The 26900-nt window shown below is 36.9% G+C and overlaps 1 protein-coding gene across 3 annotated transcripts in view, besides 2 other annotated features; it reads left to right on the top strand.

Annotated features, from left to right (window-relative positions):
- The window catches only part of SKAP2 (src kinase associated phosphoprotein 2), a 209821-nt gene that overhangs the window by 60274 nt on the left and 122647 nt on the right, over nucleotides 1-26900 (top strand). The window lies entirely within an intron of this gene.
- Nucleotides 19639-20303: an enhancer, noted in NCBI's record as "OCT4-NANOG hESC enhancer chr7:26823633-26824297 (GRCh37/hg19 assembly coordinates)". NCBI's record gives its function as "activates a minimal SCP1, AML or CMV promoter by ChIP-STARR-seq in naive and primed H9 embryonic stem cells {active_cell/tissue: H9 hESC(naive and primed)}" and the evidence as "EXISTENCE:reporter gene assay evidence [ECO:0000049][PMID:30033119]".
- Nucleotides 19813-20107: a silencer, noted in NCBI's record as "tiled region #1131; K562 Repressive non-DNase unmatched - State 22:ReprW". NCBI's record gives its function as "represses a minimal TATA promoter and a strong SV40 promoter by Sharpr-MPRA in K562 cells {active_cell/tissue: K562}" and the evidence as "EXISTENCE:reporter gene assay evidence [ECO:0000049][PMID:27701403]".

The following is a 26900-nucleotide window of genomic DNA, read 5'->3' as shown; positions in this document are numbered from 1 at the left end:
GGAAATTTAGTCCAACACTTCTTTTTAAAATTTTTTTAAAATTATTTTTTAAAAAATTTTGTGGGTATATAGTAGATGTATACATTTATGGGGTACATAAGACATTTTGATACGGGCATGCAGTGTGACATAGGCACATCATGGAGCATGGGCCATCCATCCCCTCAAGCATTTATCCTTTGAGTTCCAAATAATCCAATTACATTCTTTAAGTTATTTTAAAATATACAATTAAGTTACTGTTGACTATAATCACCCTATTGTGCTATTCAATAGTAGGTCTTATTCATTCTTTCTATTTTTTTCATACCCATTAACCTCCCCCTCCAATCCTCCACTACTCTTCCTCGCCTCTGATAACCATCCTCTACACTCCGTGTCTATGAGTTCAGTTGATTTGATTTTTAGATCCCACAAGTAAGTGAGAACATGCAGTGTTTGTCTTTCAGTGCCTGGCTTATTTCACTTAACATAATGATTTCCAGTTCCATCCATGTTGTTGCAAATGACTGGATCTCATTCTTTTTTATGGCTGAATAGTACTCCATTGTGTATATGTACCACATTTTCTTTATCCAGTCATCTGTTTATGGACACTTAGTTGCTTTGAAATCTTAGCTATCATAAATAATGCTGCAACAAACGTAGGAGTGCAGATATCTCTTCAGTATACTGATTTCCTTTCTTTTGGGCATATATCCAGCAGTGGGATTGCTGGATCCTATGGTACCTCAATTTTTTGTTTTTTTGAGGAACCTCCAAACTGTTTTCCATGGTAGTTGTACTAATTTACATTCCCACCAATAGCATACAAGGGCTGTCTGTCATTCACATGCTCGTCAGCATTTGCTATTGCCTGTCTTTTGGATATAAGCCATTTTAACTGGGGTGAGATGATGTCTCATTGTAGTTTTGATTTGCATTTCTCTGATGATCAGTGATGTTGAGCACCTTGTCATATGTCTGCCATTTGCATGTCTTCTTTTGAGAAATGTCTGTTCAAAGGTTTTGCCTATTTTTTGATTGGATTGTTAGGCTTTTTTCCTGTAGACTTGTTTGAGCTCCTTATGTAGTCTGGTTACTAATCCCTTGTCAGAGGGGTATTTTGCAAATATTTTCTCCCATTCTGTGTGTTCTCTCTTCATTTTGTTGATTGTATTCTTTGCTGTGAAGAAGCTTTTTAACTTGATGTGATCCCATTTGTCCATGTTTGCTTTGGTTGCCTGTGCTTGCGGGGTTTTGCTCAAGAAGTCTTTACCCAGACTAATGTCCTGGAAATTTTCTCCAATGTTTTCTTGTAGTAGTTTCATAGTTTGAGGCTTTAGATTTAAGTCTTTAATCCATTTTGATTTGATTTTTGTATATGGTGAGAGATAGGGGTCTAGTTTCATTCTTTCCCATATGGATTTCCAGTTTTCCAAGCAGCATTTATTTATTTATTTATTGAGACAGAGTCTTGCTCTGTCACCAGGCTGGAGTGCGATCTTGACTCACTGCAACCTCTGTCTTCTGGGTTCAAGCGATTCTCCTGCCTCACCCTCCCGAGTAGCTGGGACTACAGGCACGTGCTACCATGTCTGGCTAATTTTTGTATTTTTAGTAGAGACTGGGTTTCACCATGTTGGCCAGGATGGTCTCAATCTCTTGACCTCGTGATCCACCTGCCTCTGCCTCCCAAAGTGCCAGGATTACAGGCGTGTGCTACTGCACCCAGCCCCAAGCAGCATTTATTAAAGAGACTGTCTTGGCTGGGTGTGGTGGCTCATGCCTATAATCCCAACACTTTGGGAGGCTGAGGCGGGCAGATCACCTGAGGTCGGGAGCTCGAGACCAGCCTGACCAACATGGAGAAACCCTGTCTCTACTAAAAATATAAAATTAGCCAGGCATGGTGGTGCATGTCTGTAGCCCTAGCTACTTGGGAGGCTGAGGCAGGAGAATCGCTTGAACTCGGGAGGCGGAGGTTGCAGTGAGCTGAGATCATGCCATTACACTCCAGCCTGGGCAAGAGTGAAACTCCGTCTCAAAAAAAAAAAAAACCAAAAAAAAAAAAAAACTGTCTTTTCTCCAGTCTATGTTCTTAGTACCTTTGTCAAAAATGATTTCACTCTAAGTGTGTGGATTTGCTTCTGTGTTCTTTAATCTGTTCCATTGGTCTATGTGTCTGTTTTTGTGCCAGTACCATGCTGTTTTGATAACTATAACTCTGTAGTATGATTTGAAGTTAGATATGCGATTCCTCCAGCTTTGTTCTTTTTGCTTAGGGTAACATTGGCTGTTCTGAGTCTTTTGTGGTTCCATGTAAATTTGAGGATTTTTTTTTCTGTTTTGGGGAAGAATGTCATTGGTATTTTGATAGGGATTGCATTGAATCTGTAGATTGCTTTGGGTAATATGGACATTGTAACAATATTGATTCTTCCAACCCATGAACATGAAATATTTTTTGATTTTTAGGTGTCATCTTCAATTTTCTTTATAAGTATTTTATAGTTTTCATTATAGAGATCTTTCACCTCTTTAAGTTAATTTCTAGGTATTTAATTTTATGTGTGGCTATTGTAAATGGGATTACTTTTTAAATTTCTTTTTCACATTGTTCACTGTTGACATATAGAAATACTGCTGATTTTTGTGTGTTGATTTTGTATCCTGCAGCTTTACTGAATTTGTTTCTCAGTTCTAGTAGTTTCTTTGTGGAGTCTTTAGGTTTTTCCAAATATAAGATCATATTATTGGCAAACAAGGATAGTTTGACTTCCTCCTTTCCAATTTGGATGCCTTTATTTCTTTCTGTTGTCTGATTGCTCTAGCTAGGACTTCCAGTACTGTGTTGAATAACAGCAGTGACAATGGGCATCTTTGTCGTGTTCCAGATTTTAGAGGAAAGGCTTTCAGTTTTTCCTCATTCAGTATGATACTAGCTGTAGGTTTGTCATGTATGGCTTTTATTATGTTGAGATATGTTCCTTCTATACCCAGTTTTTTAAAGCGTTTTTGTCATGAAGGGATGTTGAATTTTATCAAATGCCTTTTCAGCATCAGTTGAAATGATCATATGGTTTTCATCCTTCATTCTATTGATATGATGTATCATGTTGATTGATTTGTATATGTTGAGCCATCCTTGCATCCCAGAGATAAATCCCACTTGGTCATGATGAATGATCTGTCTAATGCATTGTTGAATTCAGATTGCTTGTATTTTGTTGATGATTTTTGCATCAATTATTCATCAAATATATTGGCCTATATTTTTTTTTCTTTCTTTCTTTCTTGGATGCGTCTTTTTCTCGTTTTGGTATCAGTAATACTGGCCTTGTAGAATGAATTTGGAAGTATTCTGTTCTGCTCTATTTTTTTGGACTAGTTTGATTAGGATTGGTGTTAGTTCTTTAAATGTTTGGTAGAATTCAGCAGTGAAGCCATCAGGTCCTGGGCTTTTCTTTACTGGGAGATGTTTTATTACAGCTTCAATCTTGTTGCTTCTTATTGGTCTGTTCCAGTTTTGGATTTCTTCCTGGTTCATCTTGGTCAGTTGTATGTATCTAGGAATTTGTCCATTTCTTCCAGATTTTCCAATTTATTGGCATGTACTTGCTCATAGTGTAGACACTGACAATCCTTTGAATTTCTGCAGTATCACTTGTAATGTCTCTCTTTTCATTTCTGATTTTATTTATTTGGATCTTCTCTTTTTCTTAGTGTGGCTAAAGGTTTGTCAATTTTGTTTAACATTTCAAAAAACCAACTTTTTGGTTGATCTTTTGTATTTTTTTAAAATTTCAATTTCATTTATTTCTGCTCTGGTCTTTATTTATTTATTTTTTCTTCTACTAATTTTGGGTTTGGTTTGCTCTTGCTTTTCAAGTTCTTGAAGATGCATTGAAAATTTTCCTCTTTTTCAATATAGGCACTTATAGCTATAAATGTCCTTCTGAGTACTGCTTTTGCTGTATCACATAGGTTTTGGTGTGTTCTGTTTTCATTATCATTTGTTTGAAGAAATTTTTCAATTTCCTTCTTCATGTCTTCACCGACCCGCTGGTTATTCAAGAGTATACTGTTTAATTTCCATGCATTTGTGTAGTTTCCAAAATTCCTCTTGTTATTAATTTTGAATTTTATTCCATTGTGGTCAGAGAAGATGCTTGGTAGTTTTTCAGTTTTTATTTTATTTTATTTATTTTTTTGAGACAGAGTTTCGCTCTGTCGCCCAGGCTGGAGTGCAGTGGCGCAATCTTGGCTCACTGCAAGCTCCACCTCCTGGGTTCATGCCATTCTCCTGCCTCAGCCTCCTAAGTAGCTGGGACTACAGACACCCCCCACCACAAATGGCTAATTTTTTTTTTTTGTATTTTTAGTAGAGACAGGGTTTCACCGTATTAGCCAGGATGGTCTCTATCTCCTGACCTCGTGATCCACCTGCCTCAGCCTCCCAAAGTGCTGGGATTACAGGCGTGAGCCACCGCCTGTTTTTTTGAATGTTTTAAGACTTGTTTTGTGACCTGACATATGGTCTATTCTTGAGAATGATCCATGTGCTGAAGAAAAGAATGCGTATTCTGCAGCTCTTGGATGAAATGTTTTGTAGATATCTGTTAGATCCATTTGGTCTATAGTGCAGATTAAGCCTGATGTTTCTTTGTTGATTTTCTGTCTGGAAGATGTGAGTGATGCTGAAAGTGGGGTATTGAAGTCTCCAGCTATTATTGTATCAGGGCCTATCTCTTTCTTTAGCTCTGATAATATTTTCCTTATATATCTGGGTGTTCTAGTGTTGGGTGCATATATATTTAAAATTGCTAAATCCTCTTGCTGAATTGACTCCTTTATCATTATATAGTGACCTTCTTTATCTCTTCTTATTGTTTTTGTCTTGAAATCTATTTTGTCTAAGTATAGCAATTCCTGCTCTTTTTTGGTTTCCATTGGCATGAAATATCTTTTTTTATCACTTTGATTTTAGTCTATGTGTGCTTATAGGTGAAATGTGTTTCCTGTAAGGCAACAGATCAATGGGGTTTTTTTTTTCTTCCATTCAGCCCGTCTGTGTCTTTTGATTGAAGAGTTTAATCCATTTACATTCAATGGTATTATTGATAAGTAAGGACTAATACCTGCCATTTTGTTACTTATTTTCTGGTTGTTTTGTGGTCTGGTGTTGTCTTGCCTTGCCTTGCCTTGCCTTGCCTTGCCTTGTCTTGCCTTGCCTTGCCTTGCCCTGCCCTGCCTTGCCTTGCCCTGTCCCTGCCCCTGTCCCGCCCCTCCCCTCCTCTTTTCCCCTCCCCTTTTTCCTTCCCTTCCTTTCTTCCTTTGTTTCCTTTCTTGTCTTCCTCTAGTGAAGGTAATTTTCTCTGGTGTTATGATTTAGTCTCTTGCTTTTTATGTCTTGTGTGTCCGTTGTATGTTTTTTGGTTTGAAGTTACTGTGAGGCTTGCAAATACTATCTTATAACCCATTATTTTAACCTAATAAAAACAACACTATTTGAATAAGCAAACAACCAAGCAAAAAGCAAACTGTTAAACACTCTACAGCTTAACTTCATCAAAAACATGTTTTAAGTTTTTGTTGTTTTTATTTATATCTTATTGTATTGACTGTGTCTTGAAAAGTAGTTATTTTTGATTGGTTCATCATTTAGTCTTTTTACTTAGGATAAGAGTAGTTTATACACCACAGTTACAGTGTGATACTATTCTGTGTTTTTCTGTGTACTTACTGTGACTAGTGAGTTTTGTACCTTCAGGTGATTACTTATTGCTCATTAATGTCCTTTTCTTTCTGATTGAAGTACTTCCGGTTGCATTTCTTGTAGGACAGGTCTGGTATTGATGAAATTCCTCAGCTTTCTTCTGCTTGACCAATTCTCCTATTTAAAGGACTCTGATGCCTTCTTCAGTATGCCAATTGCATTTTTCAGCTCCAGAACTTCTGCTTGGTTCTTTTTTGGTTTCTCCTTCATATTTGAAGTTTATTTCCACCAAATCTAGTATTCTAGGTTAGTTTTTTTCCTTTGGTACTTTAAACATGTCATGCCACTCTCTCCTGGCCTATAAGGTTTCCACTGAAAAGTCTGCTGCCAGATGTATTGGAGCTTCATTGTATGCTATTTGTTTCTTTTTTCTTGCTGTTTTTAAAGTCCTTTCTTTATCCTTGGTCTTTGGGAGTTTGACTATTAAATGCTTTAACCTTTGGGTTAAATCTGCTTAGTGTTCTATAACCTTCTTGTACTTGGATATTGATATCTTTCTTTAGGAGTTGGAAGTTCTCTGTTATTATTATTATTCTTTTTTCTTTTGTCTCCTCTGACTGTATATTTTCAAATAGCCTGTCTTCAAGCTCACTAATTCTTTCTTCTGCTTGATCAATTCTGCTGTTAAAGGACTCTGATGCATTCTTCAGTATGCCAATTGCATTCTTCAGTATGCCAGTTGCATTTTTCAGCTCCAGAACTTCTGCTTGGTTCTTTTTCATTATTTCAATCTTTTTGTTAAATTTATATAATAGAATTCAGAATTCCTTCTCTGTGTTATCTTGAATTTCTTTGAGTGTTTTCAACACAGCTATTTTGAATTTTCTGTCTGAAAGGTCACATAACTGTGTTTCTCCAGGATTGGTCCCTGGCACCTTATTTAATTCATTTGGTGAAGTCATGTTTTCCTGGATGGTGTTGGTGCTAGTAGATGTTCTTCAGTATCTGGCCATTTGTTGTAGTCTTCACTGTTTGGGCTTATTTATACCCATCCTTCTTGGGAAGACTTTCAGATATTTTAAAGGACTTGAGTGTTGTGATCTAAGCTGTATCTGCTTTAGGGAGCACCCCTAGCCAAGTAATGCTATAGAGGTGCCACCTTGACAGTCTTGGACAAGATCCGGGAGAATTCTCTGGATTACCAGGCAGAGACTCCTGTTTCCTTCCCTTAATTTCTCCCAAACTTAGAGTCTCTCTTTCTGTTCTGAGCCCCCTAAAGCTGGGGGGTGGAGTAACACAGGCACCCCCGTGGCGGCCACCACTATGACTGCACGGGGTAAGACCTGAAGCCAGCACAGCACTGGGTCTTGCCCAAGATCTGCTGTAACCACCCCATGGCTACTGCCTATTTTAGCTCGAGGCCCTGGGGCTCTACAATTAGCCAGTGGCAAAGCAGCCAGGACTGTGTCCTTTCCTTCAAGGCAGCGAGGTCCCCTAATCCCCGGTGGGTCCAGAAGTACCATCCAGGAATTAGGGACTAGAGTCAAGTCCAACACTTCTGATTCATGGATGAAGATGCCCTATTTTCTTTATCTCCTCCAGATTTCTCCTCTACTTTTCTCCCACCAAATCTTAACCTATTATGACCATTTGCCCAAATGTTTTGTGCTCTGCTCATGGTAAAGGAGTAAGGGATATACAGTTGACTCATGAACAATGTGAGGGTTTAGGGATGTCAACCCCCTGTGCTTTTGAAAATCCACATATAACTTTTGACTCCCCCAAAACTAACTACTAATAGCCTGTTGTTGACCATAAGTCTTACCAACAACATAAACAGTTGATTAACACATATTTTGTATATGTATTATATACTGCATTCTTATAATAGAATAAGCTAGAGAAATGTTATTAAGAAAATTAATGAGAAAATACATTTACAGTACTGTATTTATTGGTGCCACAAGTTGATATCATCTATTTATGCAATCGATTATCTGTCCGAAATGGCAGGCAGCCACAGCTGCAGAACTCAATCTATGGTACATATCAAGCAACCCAACTTTTCCTTGTAATGTCATGAATTTTCTCTGCTTTTCAGAGGTACTGTTAGCATCACCAGTGGCACTTTGTATGGGTCCCATGGTGTTATTCAAGGTTTTCAGTATTGCACTAAACATGGTAAAAAATATGTGAGACCCACAAGAGATCACTTTTTACTGCGATATGCAATTTACTGGAGAGGTGAACTACTCACATGGAGATGATTAGTGTCAATTAGTGTCACATAGCGTTTTAAGCAGATTTTCGTAACACTCAAGCTCACCCCAACAGCAACAGGAGATGGCTATGATGTTATTACCAAAGGACAGGATATACTACAGTTAATTTTATGCAGTTATGATTTAATACTACATTATCATTTGTTTACATTTGTGTTGACTTTTCGTAGCATCATGTATGATCTGTGGTGCGTAAGTTTGGATAAATACTAACTTTTTATAATAGATATTTGTATGTTTTATGGTGGTAAATGATAAAATAGACTAGTATTTACATATATTTTATGCATTAATGACATACCTTTTTCTTGTTTCCATATTTCTAGGCCATGCAGGTCATCTCTGAGTTTTTTCAAATTGTCACAGATCTCTAAAAAATTTTCCAATATATTTGTTGAAAAAATCCATGGATAAGTGGACTCGTGCAGTTCAAACCTGTGTTGTTCAGGGGTCCACTGTAATTGATGCACTGCTATTTGCACTTATCAAGGAGCCATTCCTAAATAACCCCTAACAACCACTAATGATGTATTAAGTATGAATCACCAGGTAGTGGGAGAGATTTTATTTTTTCAAGAGTTAAGTGACTTACTAAGTTTCTCAAACAGTACTCTTCATAGGTGCCTGCTTCCCTTATCATTTTATAAGACTGTATCTGGATCATGAGGTTGTTGCCCAGTAAATCTAAATATAACATAGGGGCTTAAATGATGCTATTGTTTATATTATACCTCATATTTTTCCAAAATGGATTTGAGGTGGCTAAAATTTTGTTCCACTTACAGTGCTGAGAATCGTATCTTGCTAATAAATGTTGATTACATTTAATTAACTGCTTCTAAAGTTATCAAAATGAGGTTCTTACTAATAAGAAGAAAAATTCAAAAATCCACTTAGAAGTTTATTCATCCTATGATCTACGATAAGATTAAAATAAGTAGTATTTAGATAATTTGATCTTATTCAAAAGCTTGGAGCTTTCTGGTAGGAAAAAGTGATAACACTTAGTATGTTCATCCAGATGAATAAATTATTTACTGGAAAGGACCAACATCTGGATCTTTCACATTCTTCCTCTTTGGTTGTATATAACTACTGAAGTTTACCTATTGCAAGTGATAAGGAACTTGGCTAGAATTTCAAAGAATGAGGAATTTGATGGCATAAACTGAAGCAAATACTGTGTAGCAAGAGTAACAGTGAATTTCTGTGACTCTTCTCTTTTGAACTTTTAGGACATTTTCTGTTTATTAGTAAAATCTCTTTAATTGGTTCTCAAACATGTGTCCACTTATGATCAACATTGTTTTGTCTGTGTTGTGCCAAACCTCTATTAACCTCAATAGGGAAGGCACCAGGTTCAAGAGGCTGAAGAAGAGACCCAGAGCCAGCAAACGAGACATGGGGTTTTATTAGGAACTTATATACGTACAGGGGAGAGAATCCAGTGGTGGCTGGCTGGACAAGATATCCACCTTCCTTGCAGTCCAGTGGTGGTGGGCTGGACAAGATATCCACCTTCCTACAGTCCAGTGCTGCGGGCTGTACAAGATATCCAACTTCCTGTAGTCCAGTGGTGGTGGGCTGGACAAGATATCTGCCTTCTTACAGTCCAGTGGCAGGGGGTTGGACAAGATATCCACCTTTTTACAATCTAATGGTGGTGGGCTAGACAAGATATCCACCTTCCTACAGTCCAGTGGCAGCAGGCTGGACAAGATAATTGCATGGCCCAGTGATGGTGGGCTGGGCAGGAAAACTGCAACCACTTGCAAACAGCATGCAGTTTATATAGCATTTTTATTTAACAACCTCCCCTGAATGACCTCCACCTGGCAACTTTTATCCAACCCAAAACTCAGGGCCTCAATCCATGTTCCATGGGATGGGCCAGGGGCTCAGATGTTCCTTATAGACAAGGAAGAAATCTTTGGATTGGTCACTCCCAGATTCCCTAGCTTGGAACACACATTCAGGTATATCTGCCATACGGGGTCATTCTCAGCGTATGCTCAGGGCATGCTTAAGTTATTGCTATCAGGGTGTCTACCCTAGTCTATTCCTTTAGCCACTTTTTCCTCCCCCTAGGATTACTGAGACAAATTATTATAGGTGAAATATATTGGCTTTGTAATTTTTATAAATGAAAATTCGAATGTTACTAACATCTCATATTTAAAAATATAAAAGAAGATACACTATTTCCTGAGAAAAAGTATCAACTTAAAAAAAATTGGGCTCCTGCTGGGGATAGCAGCTCAATTTTCTTGTTTGCTTTTAATTTGTTATGACCATTTCCAAATAGAAGGATTGGATGAAGCAGCTTTAGCTAATATATCAGAATTTCTGTAGATACTTAACCAACTCCTTACTCTGGCTTTGATTTCTTTTGGGCTTTAATTTCCTAGGTAGGCACATTTCCTGACAGCCCAGGCTAATTAATTGTATTTTAAGCCTGAATCTTGCAGCTTTACAGAGGCTGTCAATATTAGCAAGTGTAAAACTTGAGTCATTTGTAATCGCTCTATATTTCATTCATCTGCTTTTATAAATGCAGTTTTTCTGATATATGAGAGGATCATCGACTGTGAGAGTTTAAAGTGGTTTCAGAGATTATTTTACAGATGAGGAAACTGTAGTACTGATATGTTAATTGACTTGTCCAAAGTCATACAGCCTGTTGGTGGTGCTTTTATAACTTAGATTATGTACCTCTTATTTGGGATTAAGACTTTCCATGTCTTGCCCTTACTGGTCTAACTTCCTTGCCAGGTCACACAAAATACTAATTACTATTTATATTGTTTAATAGAAAAAAATTTTAAAACTTAGACTTATGAAAAGGCAACCTTTCCTAGAGAATTTGGTGTGGTTTAATCTACTGTACAATTTGAGTTATCAGTCCTTCCACAAACTGTGGTGGTGAAGTGGCTTCTCTTGTATGGATATTGAGCTGTGAGGAATTCTTCTGTAAGGATACTTCAGTTAAGATTTTCAATTTCTGATTCTAGAGCATAGGGTTAAGGAAAGGGCCCCCTGGAGGATTCCTGAACCTTTTCTCATTTTGGAGAATTAGCAGTATAATTTCTGGTCAACATAGTTTGGTAAAGGATAGTTGGCAATTGTGCTTTTGCCTGTTTCACTTGCAGAAGGGTCAAGTCAGGTAAAAGTAAGTCTGTCAGACTAGGGAAGCATTAGCCTAGAAACAGCAGGTAGGTAAGGAAGTTTAGCACTTCAGAAATAAGGCCCTGATTTCTAGCAAACACTATGTCACTGCTAGTCTGGAGTAGCCTAATTGCCATTAGAAAAGAATTCGTTTCTTAAAGGGAAAAATCATGAAGAAAACTTCCTGAGAGCTTTATTACATTCTTTTTATGAAATTATTTCTGCAATGTATTGATTAATATCTAACTTTAAGAATTTTATGTAGGCCTTTCACCATTATAATTTTGAAATATGAAAAGTCCTTGCAAACATTCTTAGATTGCCTTCTGTCTGTCTGCCTTGTAAAAGATCCTTTTAGTTAAATGGACCATCCTCCTTATAAATGATGTCATTAGCTCAGATTGAAAAGACATTGCCTGCAGGGAAATCATTTAATTGAACTAAAGTGCCTTTATTTCTGTAGATCTTGGAACAGCTCACTCACTCTTATTTTCAGATTAGATAATTTATATCAGATAATTTTTTCAGCTCTATAAATGATAAAATATTAAGAAAAGTAATCTTCTTTTTAAGATATTTTGATGTTTCATAGTTTTCCATTTATATCTGAGTTAGAATTTATGGTTCTTAAAATGCAAAATCTTATTTTTCAAATAAAAGTTTTTTTGTTCATTAGACTAAATTATTAATGTGTTTGGGATACACAGGTCAGTGGCTCCAAAATAAATGTATGTGAGATATATAGAAATGAGTCAACTTCTTTTACTCAAGATCTTTTCTCACTGTCCTTTTTGTTTTTAGATCAGGTTTATCAGGTATAATTTACATACAATAAAATTCATCCTTTAAAAGTGAACAATGTGATGAGTTTTGGTAGCTATATGCAGCTGGGTAACCACTTGCACAGTCATGATAAGATATAGAACATTTCCAGCACCCCAAAAAGTTCCCTTGTGCTCCTTTGCCATCAGTACCCTGCCTCCACACCCAGCCCCTGGCAACCACTTATCTGATTTCTGCTCCTGTAGTTTTGCCTTTTCCAGAAGGTCATATCAATAGTATTATACAATATGTAGCCAGAGAAATCTGGCTTCTTATACTTAGCATGATGCTTTTACAATTCATCCATGTTGTTTCATACCTCTGTAGTTCCTTCCTTTATTGTTGAGTAGTGTTCTGTTGTATGGATGTATCACAACATATTTTTCTACTCACTAATGATGGATGTTTTAATTCTTTTCAGTTTTGACTAATAGGAATAAAACTACTGTAAGTGTTGGTGTACAAGACTTTTTGAAGGCCATGTTTTCAAATCTCTATGGAGTGGAATTGCTGTATCCTATGATACATGTTTTTATCAGAAACTCCCAAAATGTTTTCCGCAATAGCTATACCATTTTGCATGCCCACCAGCAATGAAAATAACAGTTGCTTTGCATTTTCACCTTTCTTCATTTGTATTGTCCCTTTCTTCATTTTAGTCCTTCTAGTTAGGTGTTTTAATGGCTATATTGCCTTTTAATTCTACTGCTACCTATTTTAATCCTAGAATTCTAATAATTTAGAAATACAAATAACCAAAATAGATAGTTACCTAATTGTTAGTCAAGTCTGCTTTAAAGATACTAGATTGGTTTGGTTTATGGTTCTAAAACCAAGTATAAGCATAACCAGCTTTTAAAAAATTGTGTATTGAGGCTGGTTGTGGTGGTTCACACCTATAATCCCTGAACTTTGGGAGGCCAAGGCAGGAGGATCGCTTGAGCCCAGGAGTACAAGACCAGCCTGGGCAAAAAAGTGAGAACCCTGTCTTAAAAAAAAATAGAAAAAATTAGCCAGCAGTGAGCCGTGATCACACCACTGCACTCCAGCCTGGGTGACAGAGTGAGACCCCATATCAAAAAAAGAAAAAAAGAAAATTTTTATATTGAACTAGGTACAGGCTAATAATCACTTTTGGTATTACAGAAATAAAACCATTATTATTTCTTTTTGTCATGTTCCTAAATATGTGATATGATAATGCTGGCTGAAGCAACACATGTCTCCTCACCTCTTGGAGCGTGCCCTGTTAAGAAATGTATTGAATTTACTTGGCAACTGTACATCCTGGATTTTTTTTAAATTAAAACAAGTTTTACAATCTCAATGTGATGTTCAAGAGTTATACCATTGTACTGGTTCTATATATATTTCTTTAAGGAAGACATTTCTCCATATTTGACTATTAAAAATATCGACAGTTTTTTGCTATGAAGTCCTCTGGTGTCTTAGGCATAATAGAAAATGTTGCTATATTCAAGACTTTTTATATAGTATGAGTATTTAGTAATAATTTTAAGGTCCTCTTGATATATGGTTCCTGCTTTTCTGTTTGGATTAGCATTGTTTTGAAAGTGAGAAAATTATTTTACATATAAATTTAAAGCTAATCCAAATATTTGTTTAGAATCTCCAAAGTCTTCACTCTTTTATCCCGGATACTTTAAAAAACTTAGAAATGTTAGGATATTAGTTTCAAAAGCAAGTATGAAATATAAAATGTTTTATTAAAATGACCAACATATGAATGTTCTTACTGAGGTAGAAAGTTGTACCAAATAGGACAGTATATTAAATCCCAACAGTAATTGAATTATAACTGGTAAAACCTTTTGTTAGTATTTCTTCTGAAAACTGGTTTGTTCTTAAATAACTGTACCTCACAGTTACCTGTACCAATGTTTTATGACTCATATTGTAAAATTCACATGTAAGATTTCTAAAAGTTCACCTTACTAATTTAGATGATTTCATGTTGTGTAGCTCTTCTGTCAGTCATTTGATGTGAACGACACCAAAATCAGCCACAACATCCAATTTTCTCTTGGTCTCTAGTTCACTGCTAGGTCAGCAAACTTTTATGGAGAAGAGAATGAAAGGGTAGATTGGGTCTGAAACAGGTAATAGGCAGGTTTTGTATCCAGGTGAGAAGGTTCCTTGCTTCCAGACCTAAGTAATTAGGGGGCTAAGAATCCTCCTATAATTCAGCTCATAAAGGTGTTTAACTATAGAATGAACAGTTAGAGGTGATGATTAATTAGCCTGGGCACTTTGGGCTGGCCAGTGTGCAAGCGGTAGTACATACTGGCCATCAGCTGGTAGGCATGCAGTCTTGTAAAGGGCTTTCTGCTCTGACACTGGTAATATATCATTGCAGCTGTGCCCTTTGATTACTGGGAGGGCTTGCAGAGTGATTAATAGCCAGGATCAATGTTTCTGCCCAGCACATGACATTTGGTCACAGAGCAACCATATACTTATTCCCCTTTGGCACAACGCTTAGGAGGAATGAAGGATGAGACCTGCCAATTTATAGCTGAGGAGATTCCAGTTTATAAAATGAGTCAACTTTGACTGTACAAAATTATTCCCCATTGAAATAATTAGTGCGGCATTAAACACAATTAGAACCAAAACTACAGGAGCATGCCTGCTGAATTCAAGCCAGTTGACAGATGGTTAAGGCTTGATATTTGGCGGCCTATGATGACCAAGAGTTATTATTTTGCGAGAAAATGAAAAAGCTTGAAAGTAAACAGTGGCTACTTAAAAAAATTAGGTAATATGATGCAAAATACACATTTAAAAAACACTGGAATAGTAGAATATTCAGTGTAATAACTCTATAACTGTAACACAAACAATTGAATATCTCTGTGTGAGTGATGCTTAATGCATTGTACGTCAACTTAAAGCAGATCCTGTTTAAAACAAAATTGGTTACATGAAGGCCACCTGAATATGATATGGTCTTAGTTAATGATACATGTTGGGCCTCAACTTCCTTTAAGTGGCACTTATAAATCCTACTAGAATAGAAGGTTTTTGGACATCAGATATTATTGTGAACTTAACTATGTAATAAAAATGTTTGAGCTAAAAATTTTTTTAACCTAAAAATCTTTACCTTGAAATTTTTAGATACGTAAATTAAGCTTTCTTATGTTCATTATGTCAGAATATATTACTATAATGGAAAAAGAATGTTTTCCTACTTTCCAAATTAAACTTTAATAAATGAAAAGTCTATATACTCTAACAGAGTAGAACAAATACATTGTGGTCTTGGATTTTGCTAGTGATACTTAACTAATGGTTCATACTGTATTTGAAGTGTCTGCTGCCATTTTGTGGCATTAGCTCACAGAGTATTATACTGTTTCTACATCAATGGTAGATGTGCTTCTTAGTGCGGAGTCATTTTACATTCTGTTTATAATTATTCCGAAGAGACTATGTTCAGAAAATTGTCAGTCTATTTTGTATACCATAGAACTTTGCGATTAATTTGTGTGTGTGTGTGTGCGCACGTGTGTATCTGTGTATACATGTATATGGTATTAAGCATATAATTAGGGGGGAGTGGGATTTAGGATTTGGAAAAAATTACAAGAAATTTACATGAATAGAATTTCAGTTTTTCAACTTACACACTTGATTAGTGCTAGAGTTGCATTTTGTGCTCATAGTAACAAAAAGTCAGCTTTCTTACCTGATTTTTCTTTTGAGCTATTATAAAGGGGTATAAGATTAATACATTGTTTGGTGTTTATATGCTCCTTTATTTTCAGTTAGAACAGAGCCAATTTAAATTCTGACAGTTTTGGGTTATTTAATTTATGACATATTTACATTTCTTAATTTGTAATGTAAGAAAAATAAGCTAATTATTACTTGGATTTATATACTAGTTTTTTTTTTCCTTCAGAATGCTAAGTGCTTTCTGATTTCTCTTATAACATTTTTTTCTTTTTCTTTTTTTTCTTAACCACTGCGAAGATGAAGGGATAGAAAGGTTCTTTGGCTTAAGATCACAGCCAGTGGCACAGCTGTTGTAAGAAACCAGGACTTGCTTCTAATTATCTACTGATTGTTCTGGTACTGTAACTTCATAACAATATGAAATGATCGCAGTCAGCTTTCATTAAGTCTAATAAAACATCTTCAATGTATTTTATAACTATTCAAACCCATTTTCTTTTTTGTTCTTAGAAGCTATAGTGATTTTGTTCTTATTTGTCCACACATTCCTTAATACCTTCTTCTGACCAATAACAAATTTGTGGGTTGTGGGAGTTTGAAAAGAGGTGGTGATATGATTTGAATATTTGCCCCTGCCTACATCCCATGTTGATAATCCCAGCTATTCAGGGGGCTGAGGCATGAGAATCACTTACAGTTGGGAGGTGGAGGTGGCAGTGAGCCAAGATTGAGCCACTGCACTCCAGTCTGGGCGACAGAGCGAGACTCGGTTAAAAAGAAAAAGAAAAAGAAATGTAATCCCCGCTGTTAGAGGTGGGGCCTGATGGGAGGTGTTTGGGTCATGCGGGCAGATCCCTCATGGCTTGGTGCTGTCCCTGCAATAGTATGCGACAATGAGTGAGTACTTGTGAGATCTAGTTGTTTATAAGTGTGTGGCACCTCCCCCTCCCTCTTGCTCCTGCTCTGCCATATGAAACACCAGGTCACCCTTTGCCTTTCACCATGAGTAAAAAAGCTTCCTGGCCAGGTGTGGTGGCTCACGCCTGTAATCCCAACGCTTTGGGAGGCAGAGGCAGGTGGATCACTTGAGGTCAGGAGTTCAATACCAGCCTGGCCACTAACATGGTGAAACCCCATCTCCACTAAAAATACAAAAATTAGCCAGGCGTGGGTGGTGCACGCCTGTAGTCTCAGCTACTCAGGAGGTTAAGGTAGGAGAATTGCTTGAGCCCAGGAGGCAGAGGTTGCAGTGAGCCAAGATTGTGCTACCGCACTCCAGCCTAGGTGGCAGAGGAAGACTCTGTCTCAAAAAGGAAAAAAAAAAAACCATCTTGAGGCCTCCCAGAAGCCAATCAGATGCTGACACCATACTTGCACAGCCTGCGGAACCGTAAGCCAACGAAACCTCTTTTCTTTATAAATTACCCAGTCCAAGATATTTTTTATAGCAGTGCAAAAACAGCCTAATACTGGTGGTTAAAAGTCATTTGTGGCTGTGAATAAGAGCAAAATTCTGAAGTCAAACGAAGACCTTAGCTTCATTCTTACCTACATTCTAATATGAGATAGCTGGATCTTGAGTGCATGAAAACTAAAAATGAGTTTACTTGAGAACTTCAAGGCTTTAGATTTCTACTTTAACTTTATTTTTTTGTCCCATGTGGATATATAATGTGTTCAAATGATTAAAAATTAATTAGCTATGGGAAACAGAGATGCAAAATGTTGAGTTAATTACAGATTAGATAATTGCTGTCTAAAAAAGAATGATCTGTAGAAGGAGGAGAGTTAAGTTAACCTTAAAAAAAACTGGGCAATTTTATAGGTAGAATAAAGTCAAATAATTATATGTTCAGAAAAAAAAGATATTCTAGAACTGTCAGTTTGTACAGAATGTATGTGTTTAGATACAGACTGAGATAATTTGCATACTAAAAGAGCTCATGACCCTGCTCTTGCTAGGGCACGTGTTTATTATAATTAAGAATGTTTTCCTTTATGGAGCACATGCACACAGGCACCCGTTGAAAGTGCCAGGCTCGCCACTGCCTTAGGTCCCCTATTACTCTGCCTGGAGTGCTCTTCCTCACTCCCTCCCACCTTCCCCCATCTTGACCTGACTGATACTTTTATATTCCTCAGTTCAGCTCATTGGTCACCTCTTCAGAGAGGTCATCCCAGACAACCCTTCCTAAAATAGTTCTCCAAGCTCTGTCATCATTCTCCATCCCATTAGCCTGTTTTACATTTGCCATTATCTGAAATAATCTTACTTATATGTTTTTTACTTGTTTCTCCTCACTAGAATGTAATTTCTGTGAGGTTAGAGACCTTGTCTGTCTTGTTCAACACTGTATCCCTAATTGTAGAATGGCGGATCTTTAATGAATATTGGTTTAATGAATTAATTTAACTTTTTTACATTAAATGTTAATCTTAGTTAAAAAGAAAAAATTCCCCTGGGTCCTAATTTCCCCCATCTTGATTACCAAATAGTTTGTATAGAATTGCCGGTACAGCCCTTAGACCCAGACAAGAGGAGCCCCTGTACTTTGGAGGGCCCTAATTGGGCCCTTTTCCAGTTGTGCCCTGTCCCACAGGTTCAGTTCTTGGGGTGAAGGGGAGGTGCCCAACTCATGTCTGCATCTCATTTCCCCTCACCTCATCTTCTAGACTATATTCCAGTTCCCAGGGTCCCTGAAATCCCTACTGAGATGGCCCCAAGCTTGCTCCCAGGGCCTGTATGGGCCTCTTCAATGGCTCTGTCTTATGGTAGATGGAGCATATTACTGCTGTGTATGTCTATAGGCATGGGGGTAACTATGGATTGTGTGCAGGGGACTGTGGACAGGGCATGGAAGGGTGGGCATCTCCACAAGCCTCCTTTGGGTATCAGATGGAGCCAGGGTAGGGAAAAAAGAAATGGGGATTTCTTAGGAGTCCAACATTCTAAATTTGAGCCCAGTCTTCCTTATTATTATAATGGTGTATATTTGTCAAGTTTGGAGGATAGACCATGTTTTGGTTAACAGATTCATTAGCTTGATATAAAACTTCTTAATATTTAGACATATGCTCTGTGGGCCTCCATTTATATTCTTGTGATATGCCCTTTGATGTCAAGGGAAGGTTTGAGTGTTGTATTTAAAACTTTGTTTCCTCGGCCGGGCGCGATGGCTCATGCCTGTAATCCCAGCACTTTGGGAGGCCGAGGCAGGTGGATCACGAGGTCAGGAGATCGAGACCATCCTGGCTAACATGGTGAAACCCCATCTCTACTAAAAATACAAAAAATTAGCCCGGTGTGGTGGCGGGCGCCTGTAGTCCCAGCTACTCGGGAGGCTGAGGCAGGAGAATGGTGTGAACCCAGGAGGTGGAGCTTGCAGTGAGCCGAGATCGCGCCACTGCACTCCAGCCTGGACAACAGAGTGAGTCTTAAAAAAAAACAAACAAAAAAACACTCTGTTTCCTCACAGGATCCTAAAGGCATGATCTTTTTTCCAGAACTTGGGTATATTGAAAGAGTTTAGTAGGTTTTTAATGAAGGTAAAAACTATTTGCACACCTCATGAGCAAAAAAATGACAGTTCAGTTTTGCCCCAACATTTTATTATGAAAATTTCCAGATGTGCCTCAAAGAATTGGAAGAATTTTACAGAAAATACCTATTTATCCACCACTTAGATCTTATTTTCCTGTCCTTGCTTTATCACATATCAGCTTCCCACCCCTCTGTATATTCATTAGCTCATTCTTATTTACAGTTTTTTGATGCATTTCAAGGTAAATTGCAGACATCAGTATACTTCCCCCTACACATTTAGGCATGGGAATTAATTTTTAACAGGAGAGGGAAAAACTTTACTGTAGATGCTTAATGTTTTAAAAATAATTTTTCTGTATAATTTGTTAAACTTTCTTATGTTCACTCTTCAATAATGACTTTGAACTCCCACTGTGTGTCAGCCTTCTACAGAAGATGCCTGTGTTGATCATTATTTGTTAGGACTTGATGCAGCACATGTTGATTTATATCCAGTTTTGTTTAGGTAAATCAGGCTTTGAGAATACAGAGATAAATATGAATGATTCATCACCTTTAGAGACAAATTCTGGTTGAAGAGCCACAGACAGCAACATGGAGAGTTAGAGTGCAGGATGAGAAGCAGTGATATTCTGGTAGATATTTTATCGCTGGCTTTCACAGAAGAAGAAAGCCTAATTTGTAGCTTGTGGCCTTTACAGCTTTCCATTGTGTAAATACTCTCACCGTGGAGGAAAAACTTTTGCTCCATCAACTTAGGTCTGAATGATTGGGGATCTTCAAATTAACTGACAATAGGTAGATTAACAGGAGAAAAGACAAGGTTTATTCACACATATGTGGTAACTCAACAATAGGTAACTCCCTGAACAGCCAGAGGTAAAGGTTTGTATACCAGCTTAACAAAAGGAAGATGTTTAGGGCTTTAAAGGATGGAAAGTTCTGATGAGACTCGTTTACATAATTTTTTTTTTTTTTGGAATGTCCCTGTGCCCAAGGTTAGTGCCTCCCTAACTGGAGATGGGGGTAGTGGGGTGAAAAAGTGAGGGTGGAATTGTGGCAGCTGACTATTTTAATGCTCTACTTTAGTCAGATAAGGGCAGTTCAGATAAGATTTCTTTTTTTTTTTTCTAAGACTTATAATTATTTTATTTCATTATTATTATACTTTAAGTTTCAGGGTACATGTGCATAATGTGCAGGTTAGTTACGTATGTATACATGTGCCATGCTGGTGTGCTGCACCCCTTAACTCGTCATTTAGCGTTAGGTATATCTCCTAAAGCTATCCCTCCCCGCTCCCCCCACCTCACAACAGGCCCCAGAGTGTGATGTTCCCCTTCCTGTGTCCATGTGTTCTTTTTGCATCTGCTTTTAGGTTTCTGGTCCCTTTAGCAACCAACATGATGTCACTGTGGAGGTGGGAAGAGATGCTAACAGTTGGCTTATGATCCAGCTCCAGGTGGTTTCAGCACATTACTGGAAGCATTATGATAGAGGAGAGCCTATAGGTGGGATTTCCAATCCAGAGGGAGGCATCCTGGAAGATATGGTACTTAAGCTCACTCTTAAAGGATGAGTATGAGTTAAATAAGAAAGGGTGGGAGAGTGGGTCAATTAATGTTGGATTTGTAGTTGGTTTGTTCTGGTCTTGGTGGGTCTTGTATATATTGCTAAAGAGTTCAGAGATAATCAGAGAAATATTGGTGGGGGAAACGGGTAGGGGAGTCACATTTTTCTCCCCAAAACATCAACCTAGTAACGGTATGGATTGGAGGAAGACCAGAATAAAGGCAGGAGGGAAGAAGGAGAGAACAAACAAGATATTCTTAGGAACACAAGTCAACAGACCTTGGTGATTGACTTGGAGAGGAGACAGTCAACAACAACGTCTGGATACCTGCTTTAGGCAAATTCATGGGGAATGATACATTCCACCAGGGTAATGCAAAAAGGAAGAATGACTTGGGGGAATTTAAAAATACCAAGTTGTAACTGCTTTGGGGACATGCGAGTGACAGTGTGGGCAGTTAGATACTGGTCTGGAGCTCAGGAGAGTGATCTGAGTTAATCATATGTATTTCAGGAGAGGCAGAAAGAATCTGGTACATTCTGGTGTTCTTTTTTATACATGTGTCTTAGTCCATTCAGGCTGCTGTAACAAAATACCTTAGCCTGGGTAACTTATAATCAACAGATATTTATCGCTCACAGTTCTGGAGGTTGGGAAGTTCAAATCAAGATGTCTGGTGAGGGCTTATTTCTCATAAATGGTGCCTTCTATGTGCCCTCACATGGTGGAAGAGCAGGCAGCTCTCTAGGGCCTCTTTTATGAGGGCTTTAATCCCATTCGCAGTGATTCTGCTTTTATGACTAATCACCTCCCAAAGGCTCCACCTCTTTTTCTGTTTTAGAGACACAGCCTCAGTCTGTTGCCCAGGCTAGAGTGCAATGGCATGATCATAGCTCACTGAAGCCTCAAATTCCTAGACTCAAGTGATCTACCCACCTCAGCCTCCTGAGTAGCTGTGACTATAGGCATGAGCCATAGTGTCCAATTCCCAAAGGCTCCACCTCTTAATACTATCAACCTTGGGGGTTAGGTTTTAATATATGAATTTGGGGGGGACACATATTTAGACCATAGCAGCATGTTTCTAAGATGTGTTATTTAATACAACTCTTTTTTCAGTTAACTTTTTAAAGGTAAAAACAAACTTTTAACCAATCTGTTCACAAGATGCCTAAGATAATATTTACGTATTATAAATTGATGTAGCTTTACATCTGATTTTATTCTGGTAAATCAGGCTTTTTGGCTAATTGAGGTTTATCACTACCTTATATTAATTATCAGTTAAATAATTACCAGGTGACTTTTCAGTGGCAACAAGAATTTTCTCAACATATACCCAAATGATGTTATAATGGCTTATAGCATATTTAGTGGTCAGCAAAGTCATCAGACTCCTGCTATATGCCAGGATTGTGCCAAGTATTGGGAATCCATCAATCCTGCCCCTGTGAAACTTAAAGTCTAGTGGAGAAAATAGATACTAATCACAGAAGCATAGAAGCAAATAAAATCAGTATTATCTACAAGTTCTAATAAGCTCATCCTATAAAGGAGAGGTACATGATGCTAACAGGGAAACTTGATCTATTCAGGGAGGTCAGGGAAGGCTTCCTTGAAGAAGAAACAGGATGAGGTTTGAAGAGTGTCTATAGTGTGAGGAACAGTGTGGAGGAGAGTGATCAGAGTAGATGCTGCTAGGAGGCTATTTCAGTCCAGGAGAGATGACAATGGCTGGTCTAGAAAAGTGGTGGAGGTGCTAACCAAGACAGAAGTGATGGCAATCCTTAGGAGGTCAGATCGTAGGTCTTGGTGATGGTTTAGCAAAGGGAGGTATCAAAAATTGTCCTAGCTGTTGATTTAAAGTCTTGTGTTTTATTTAGGAGTTAGCGCTGATTCACTGTTTAAATGAAACTTAAAATGGCAATTTCACAAAGCCTAGGGAGAATGCCTAGTTTCTTTGTAAAGGTGTCCATTAATAAGTCTCCTTGGAACTAAGGATTTGTTGCAAAGTTGACTCATCAGCTGTTTTAGTAGCAGATAAATATGCAAATATCTCTGAAAAGGCGCAGTAGCACCCTGGTTGGTATTTGCACTTCCATCTTCTTTTAACAGATTTATGGATTTTTTAACTGTTATAAATTGAAGTCATATGAAAGGTGGGCTAATATGCCTTTATTTTTTTTTCCAGAAAGACTTCATTTTTTTAAATGAAGGAAATAGGGAAAAACCCCACAAAAGATTATTTTTCTGTTGTGTTTTAGATGCACCCTGCTCTGTTCAAAGCTACTGTCATGCAATATGCACTGTTTTACATAGTGTAAGAGGGTCACATTTATATTGATTCTGTGTTGATGAGGGATAAGCTTCCATCTTTGTCATCTTTTATAACAAGTATGTCTGTTGGCAGGGATTTAGTAAGATTGGATAAATGTCTTCTTTTGTGTTAATGACAAAAAGGCAACAGCTCTAGTTATCTTATAAAATAAACATTGGTAAATAAAGTTAACATTATAATAGGAATTTGTATATTATAGTGATCTCTGAAAGTGAAACTTTGAAATTTATAAACATATCCTTAATACACTATGGCCTGAGACTCAGATGATACGTAGTACAATAGCCTTTTTGCACTGGTTTAGCCATGATTTTTTATGTAGTATGTTGGACTGGAGCAAGTTAGGGAAAAGATTGGGCCCATGAATTAGACATTACTCCTCATGTGAAAATAAATTTTGCTTTTTGAACATCTAAAAGTTGGGAAAGCTGATCACAATTACTTTGGTTTTATATATGGAGGAATTATGACCAAGAGGGTTCTGTGTTTATCTATGTGTATATATGGGCAAACTAGCTTACCACCTGTTTTTGTACAGCCTGTAAGCTAAGAGTGGTTTTTATATTTTTAATGATTGAAAAAAATAAAAGCAATATTTCATGAGATGAAAATAATATGAAATTCAAATTTCAGTGCCCATAAGTTAAGTTTTATTGGGACACAATCATGCTCATTCATTACGTATTATCTGTGACTGCTTTCAAGCTACTTCAAAAGAAGTAAGTAGTTGTAACAGAATCTGTCTGGCCACTAAAGCTGAAAAAATGTATTATCCATCCCCAGTCTAGATAGCCCCTATGCAACAATGGAAATTATTTAGGTCATTCAAAACCAAATGAATGCTTCTGAGAGACAGATGACAGAAGCATGAGTTGAACTAAGCAGAATAAAACAACTTTACCACAATAATAATTGCAACAGCTACCATTTATTGAGCATTTGCTAATGTGCCAGATACTCTTCAGGGCACTTTTCACACATTAACTCATTTAATCCATACAACTCTATGAGCCACTAACATATCTCATTTTACAGGAATCAGCACAGAGAGGTTAAGCAACTTCTCCAAAGTCAGTCAGGGATGAAACAGGCCAGTTTGGCTGTCTTTCACACTTACCTCAGTGATTTTCTCACATGTACATACCTTACAAGTACTTTCTATTGAATATATTATATTTCTTGAGTCAGAGATAACAGTGTTTTCCTTTGGTTGACCCTAATTGCTTGTTCTCACTTCAGGCACTCCTGGTTTGTAATGTTTGTACATAAGAGCTTAGTCAGTGCAGGTCATCTAATTTCAAATAGAAATTATTTAAACCTGTTTTTAATGATGACTTTAGCAGATTGGATTATTGTATAACAGGCTCTCCTGTCTTAAAACACAAATTACTTGTTTTTTAAAAGCAGACTCTAGGCATATTTTCTGTTGTTTATATCTAATTTATGACCAATTCAATAATTTTTCCCTCTACATTTTTTTAACATGTTATGTTACCTCCCTGACCAAAATCCTCCAGTAATTTCTCATTGCCTTGAAATCAAGTCGTGCATGAACATTTTCCCTCAGAATCCCAATAAGAAGCTAATCTTAATTTAAACAGTATATTTTATAGAATGATATGAATTGAAATGCTTTGTCATGTGGTTGTCAATTTTGAGATTAGGGAAAGATTAAAATGTATTCCATTTCTGTCTTAGATATTAATTGGGATATTTGATGTCAACGAACAAAGTTGCATTTTATCTTTATTAAATTTCATTGAGTATTGTTAGGCTTCAGATTTTTCCCATCTGTAACATAGAGACCTACTTATAAAATGAATGGAATTATTTCCATTAGTTCAGAATTTGTGGTAATAAGGGCAGGTAATTGTATTCTGTCTGTAAGTAAAAGTAGAATTCACTGTGTAAAAATGATTGTAGAGGAAATATCTTATTACAATCATTCTTTTATTTTATAAACAGCTATTTAATGGTAGCAATTACAAGTAATCCTTAATAAGTTTTTAAAAGCAGGATGCCCCCATCAGACATTTTTATGGAATTATTGATAACATATTTGAATTCACATTTCTATTCACAAATTAAGAACAGTTATTACTGTTTTATGAAAAATATCTTTAAAAATTAAATCTTGTCACTCATTCAAACTTACTGCCTCCTAGTTCATTTCAACTAGTGGGCTTAACTTACTGAGTCCTTTGAAATTCTAGACTTAAGTTTAGAATGTCTTGGCTATTAAAGCAGACATTACATAGTCTGAAAAATAGTCTTTATAGCTGCTTTTGATGTTGACAGTGAAGATCATTGTAATTCATTTATTTACTTCAAAAGTTATATCAAATATTGGAGAGGAAATAAATTTATTTTGCTTTAAATTTATTTTATATATTATATACATGTATACAATATGTATGTAATTTGTATTACATGTTTACATTACTTGATCCCAAAATGTATTTCTTTTAGACACAGAAGAAACATATATGTTTGATGTAAGGTGTTACCTGCTTTCCCAGATAAGTAACTTATCTGAGGTCATGCAGTTTTTAGTGGCTGAATTTGAACTGGGAAACCTGGACCTGACTCCTGAACTAATGACTTTGACCAATGTGCTGTACTCTTCACAGACATAAACAGATTAATATAGTGAAGAATAATGGATGCAGTGATAGAAATATGTCCATCAGTTCAAAGTTCTTTGCTGTTCTTTATGTCCTTTATATGAATTTAAAAATATGAGAATGTGTGCAGCACTGATTGTTAGCGGAATCATAGTATGGAACTAGAAGGGCCTAGAACACTGTCAAATTTTGCTCTAAGTACTTTATATAAATTATTTCATTTAGTCATCAAATTGAGATTGGTGCTTTTATTGTTCCCTTCTGCAGCTGAGGAAACTGAGATTAAATGTCGTATTTCCCCAAGGGAGCCTAGGCTAAACCCAGCCGTGTTCTTTTAAGTACTGTGAATTTTGCCTCCCTGAAATGCTTTTCCCCCATCCCTTAAAAATAAGTGCTTTCGTATATACCAATAATGATTTTCCTAGAACAAACAACTTTTAGACTTGTCATTACAATTCTTATAGCCTGGCAGTGTTCTGACTTAGGTCTCAGTGGTTAGGAATCAATTTAGGGTCATCAAAAGGGTTCTGTGCTACCTTTTGCTATAGAACTAACAAAATATAATTAATAGGATTGGCATTTCAAAATTTATAGCTTATAAAATTATATATTCTCAGGATTTAAATACCTATAATCAGTTCATTTATAGGTGTTGAGTTGTTAAAAAAAAATGAGTATGTAGTATGTTACCAGGATTTTACCAGGTATGTAGTATTTACCAGAACTTGGTCTGTTTTCCTGTTTTTACCTTGAAATACCATTCATGCCTGTCTTTGACATGTTTCTTATTACTCCTCCCTAGAAGTATCTTGTTTGTCTTGACAGAACACTCTGGACTTTTGTGATATATTGTTACCATCATTATTTGGTATTCTTCTGTTTATGTATGTAAAACAAGGAGCAGCTGCTTTCTGCCAGCATTTTGGGTACTCATTTATATTCCCACATTGGTGACCTTAATTTGAAACACACTGCTACCATGTGGATAAGCAGAAGAATACACTGCCTAGGGGTGTAGATTGATCAGTCTGTTATCACTGGTTAAAGGCATAGCAAGAAAATTGACAGAAGATTAAAACTAAATAATTGAGGATCCTACACATCTGAGAAAATAATATCAAATATTCAAAGAACTATTAATGTGTACTTTTT

Source organism: Homo sapiens, chromosome 7 (assembly GCF_000001405.40).
Source record: "Homo sapiens chromosome 7, GRCh38.p14 Primary Assembly".
Lineage (NCBI taxonomy): Eukaryota > Metazoa > Chordata > Mammalia > Primates > Hominidae > Homo > Homo sapiens.
Note: the sequence above shows the minus strand (reverse complement) of the source record. Positions and strands in the feature narration are given on the sequence as shown.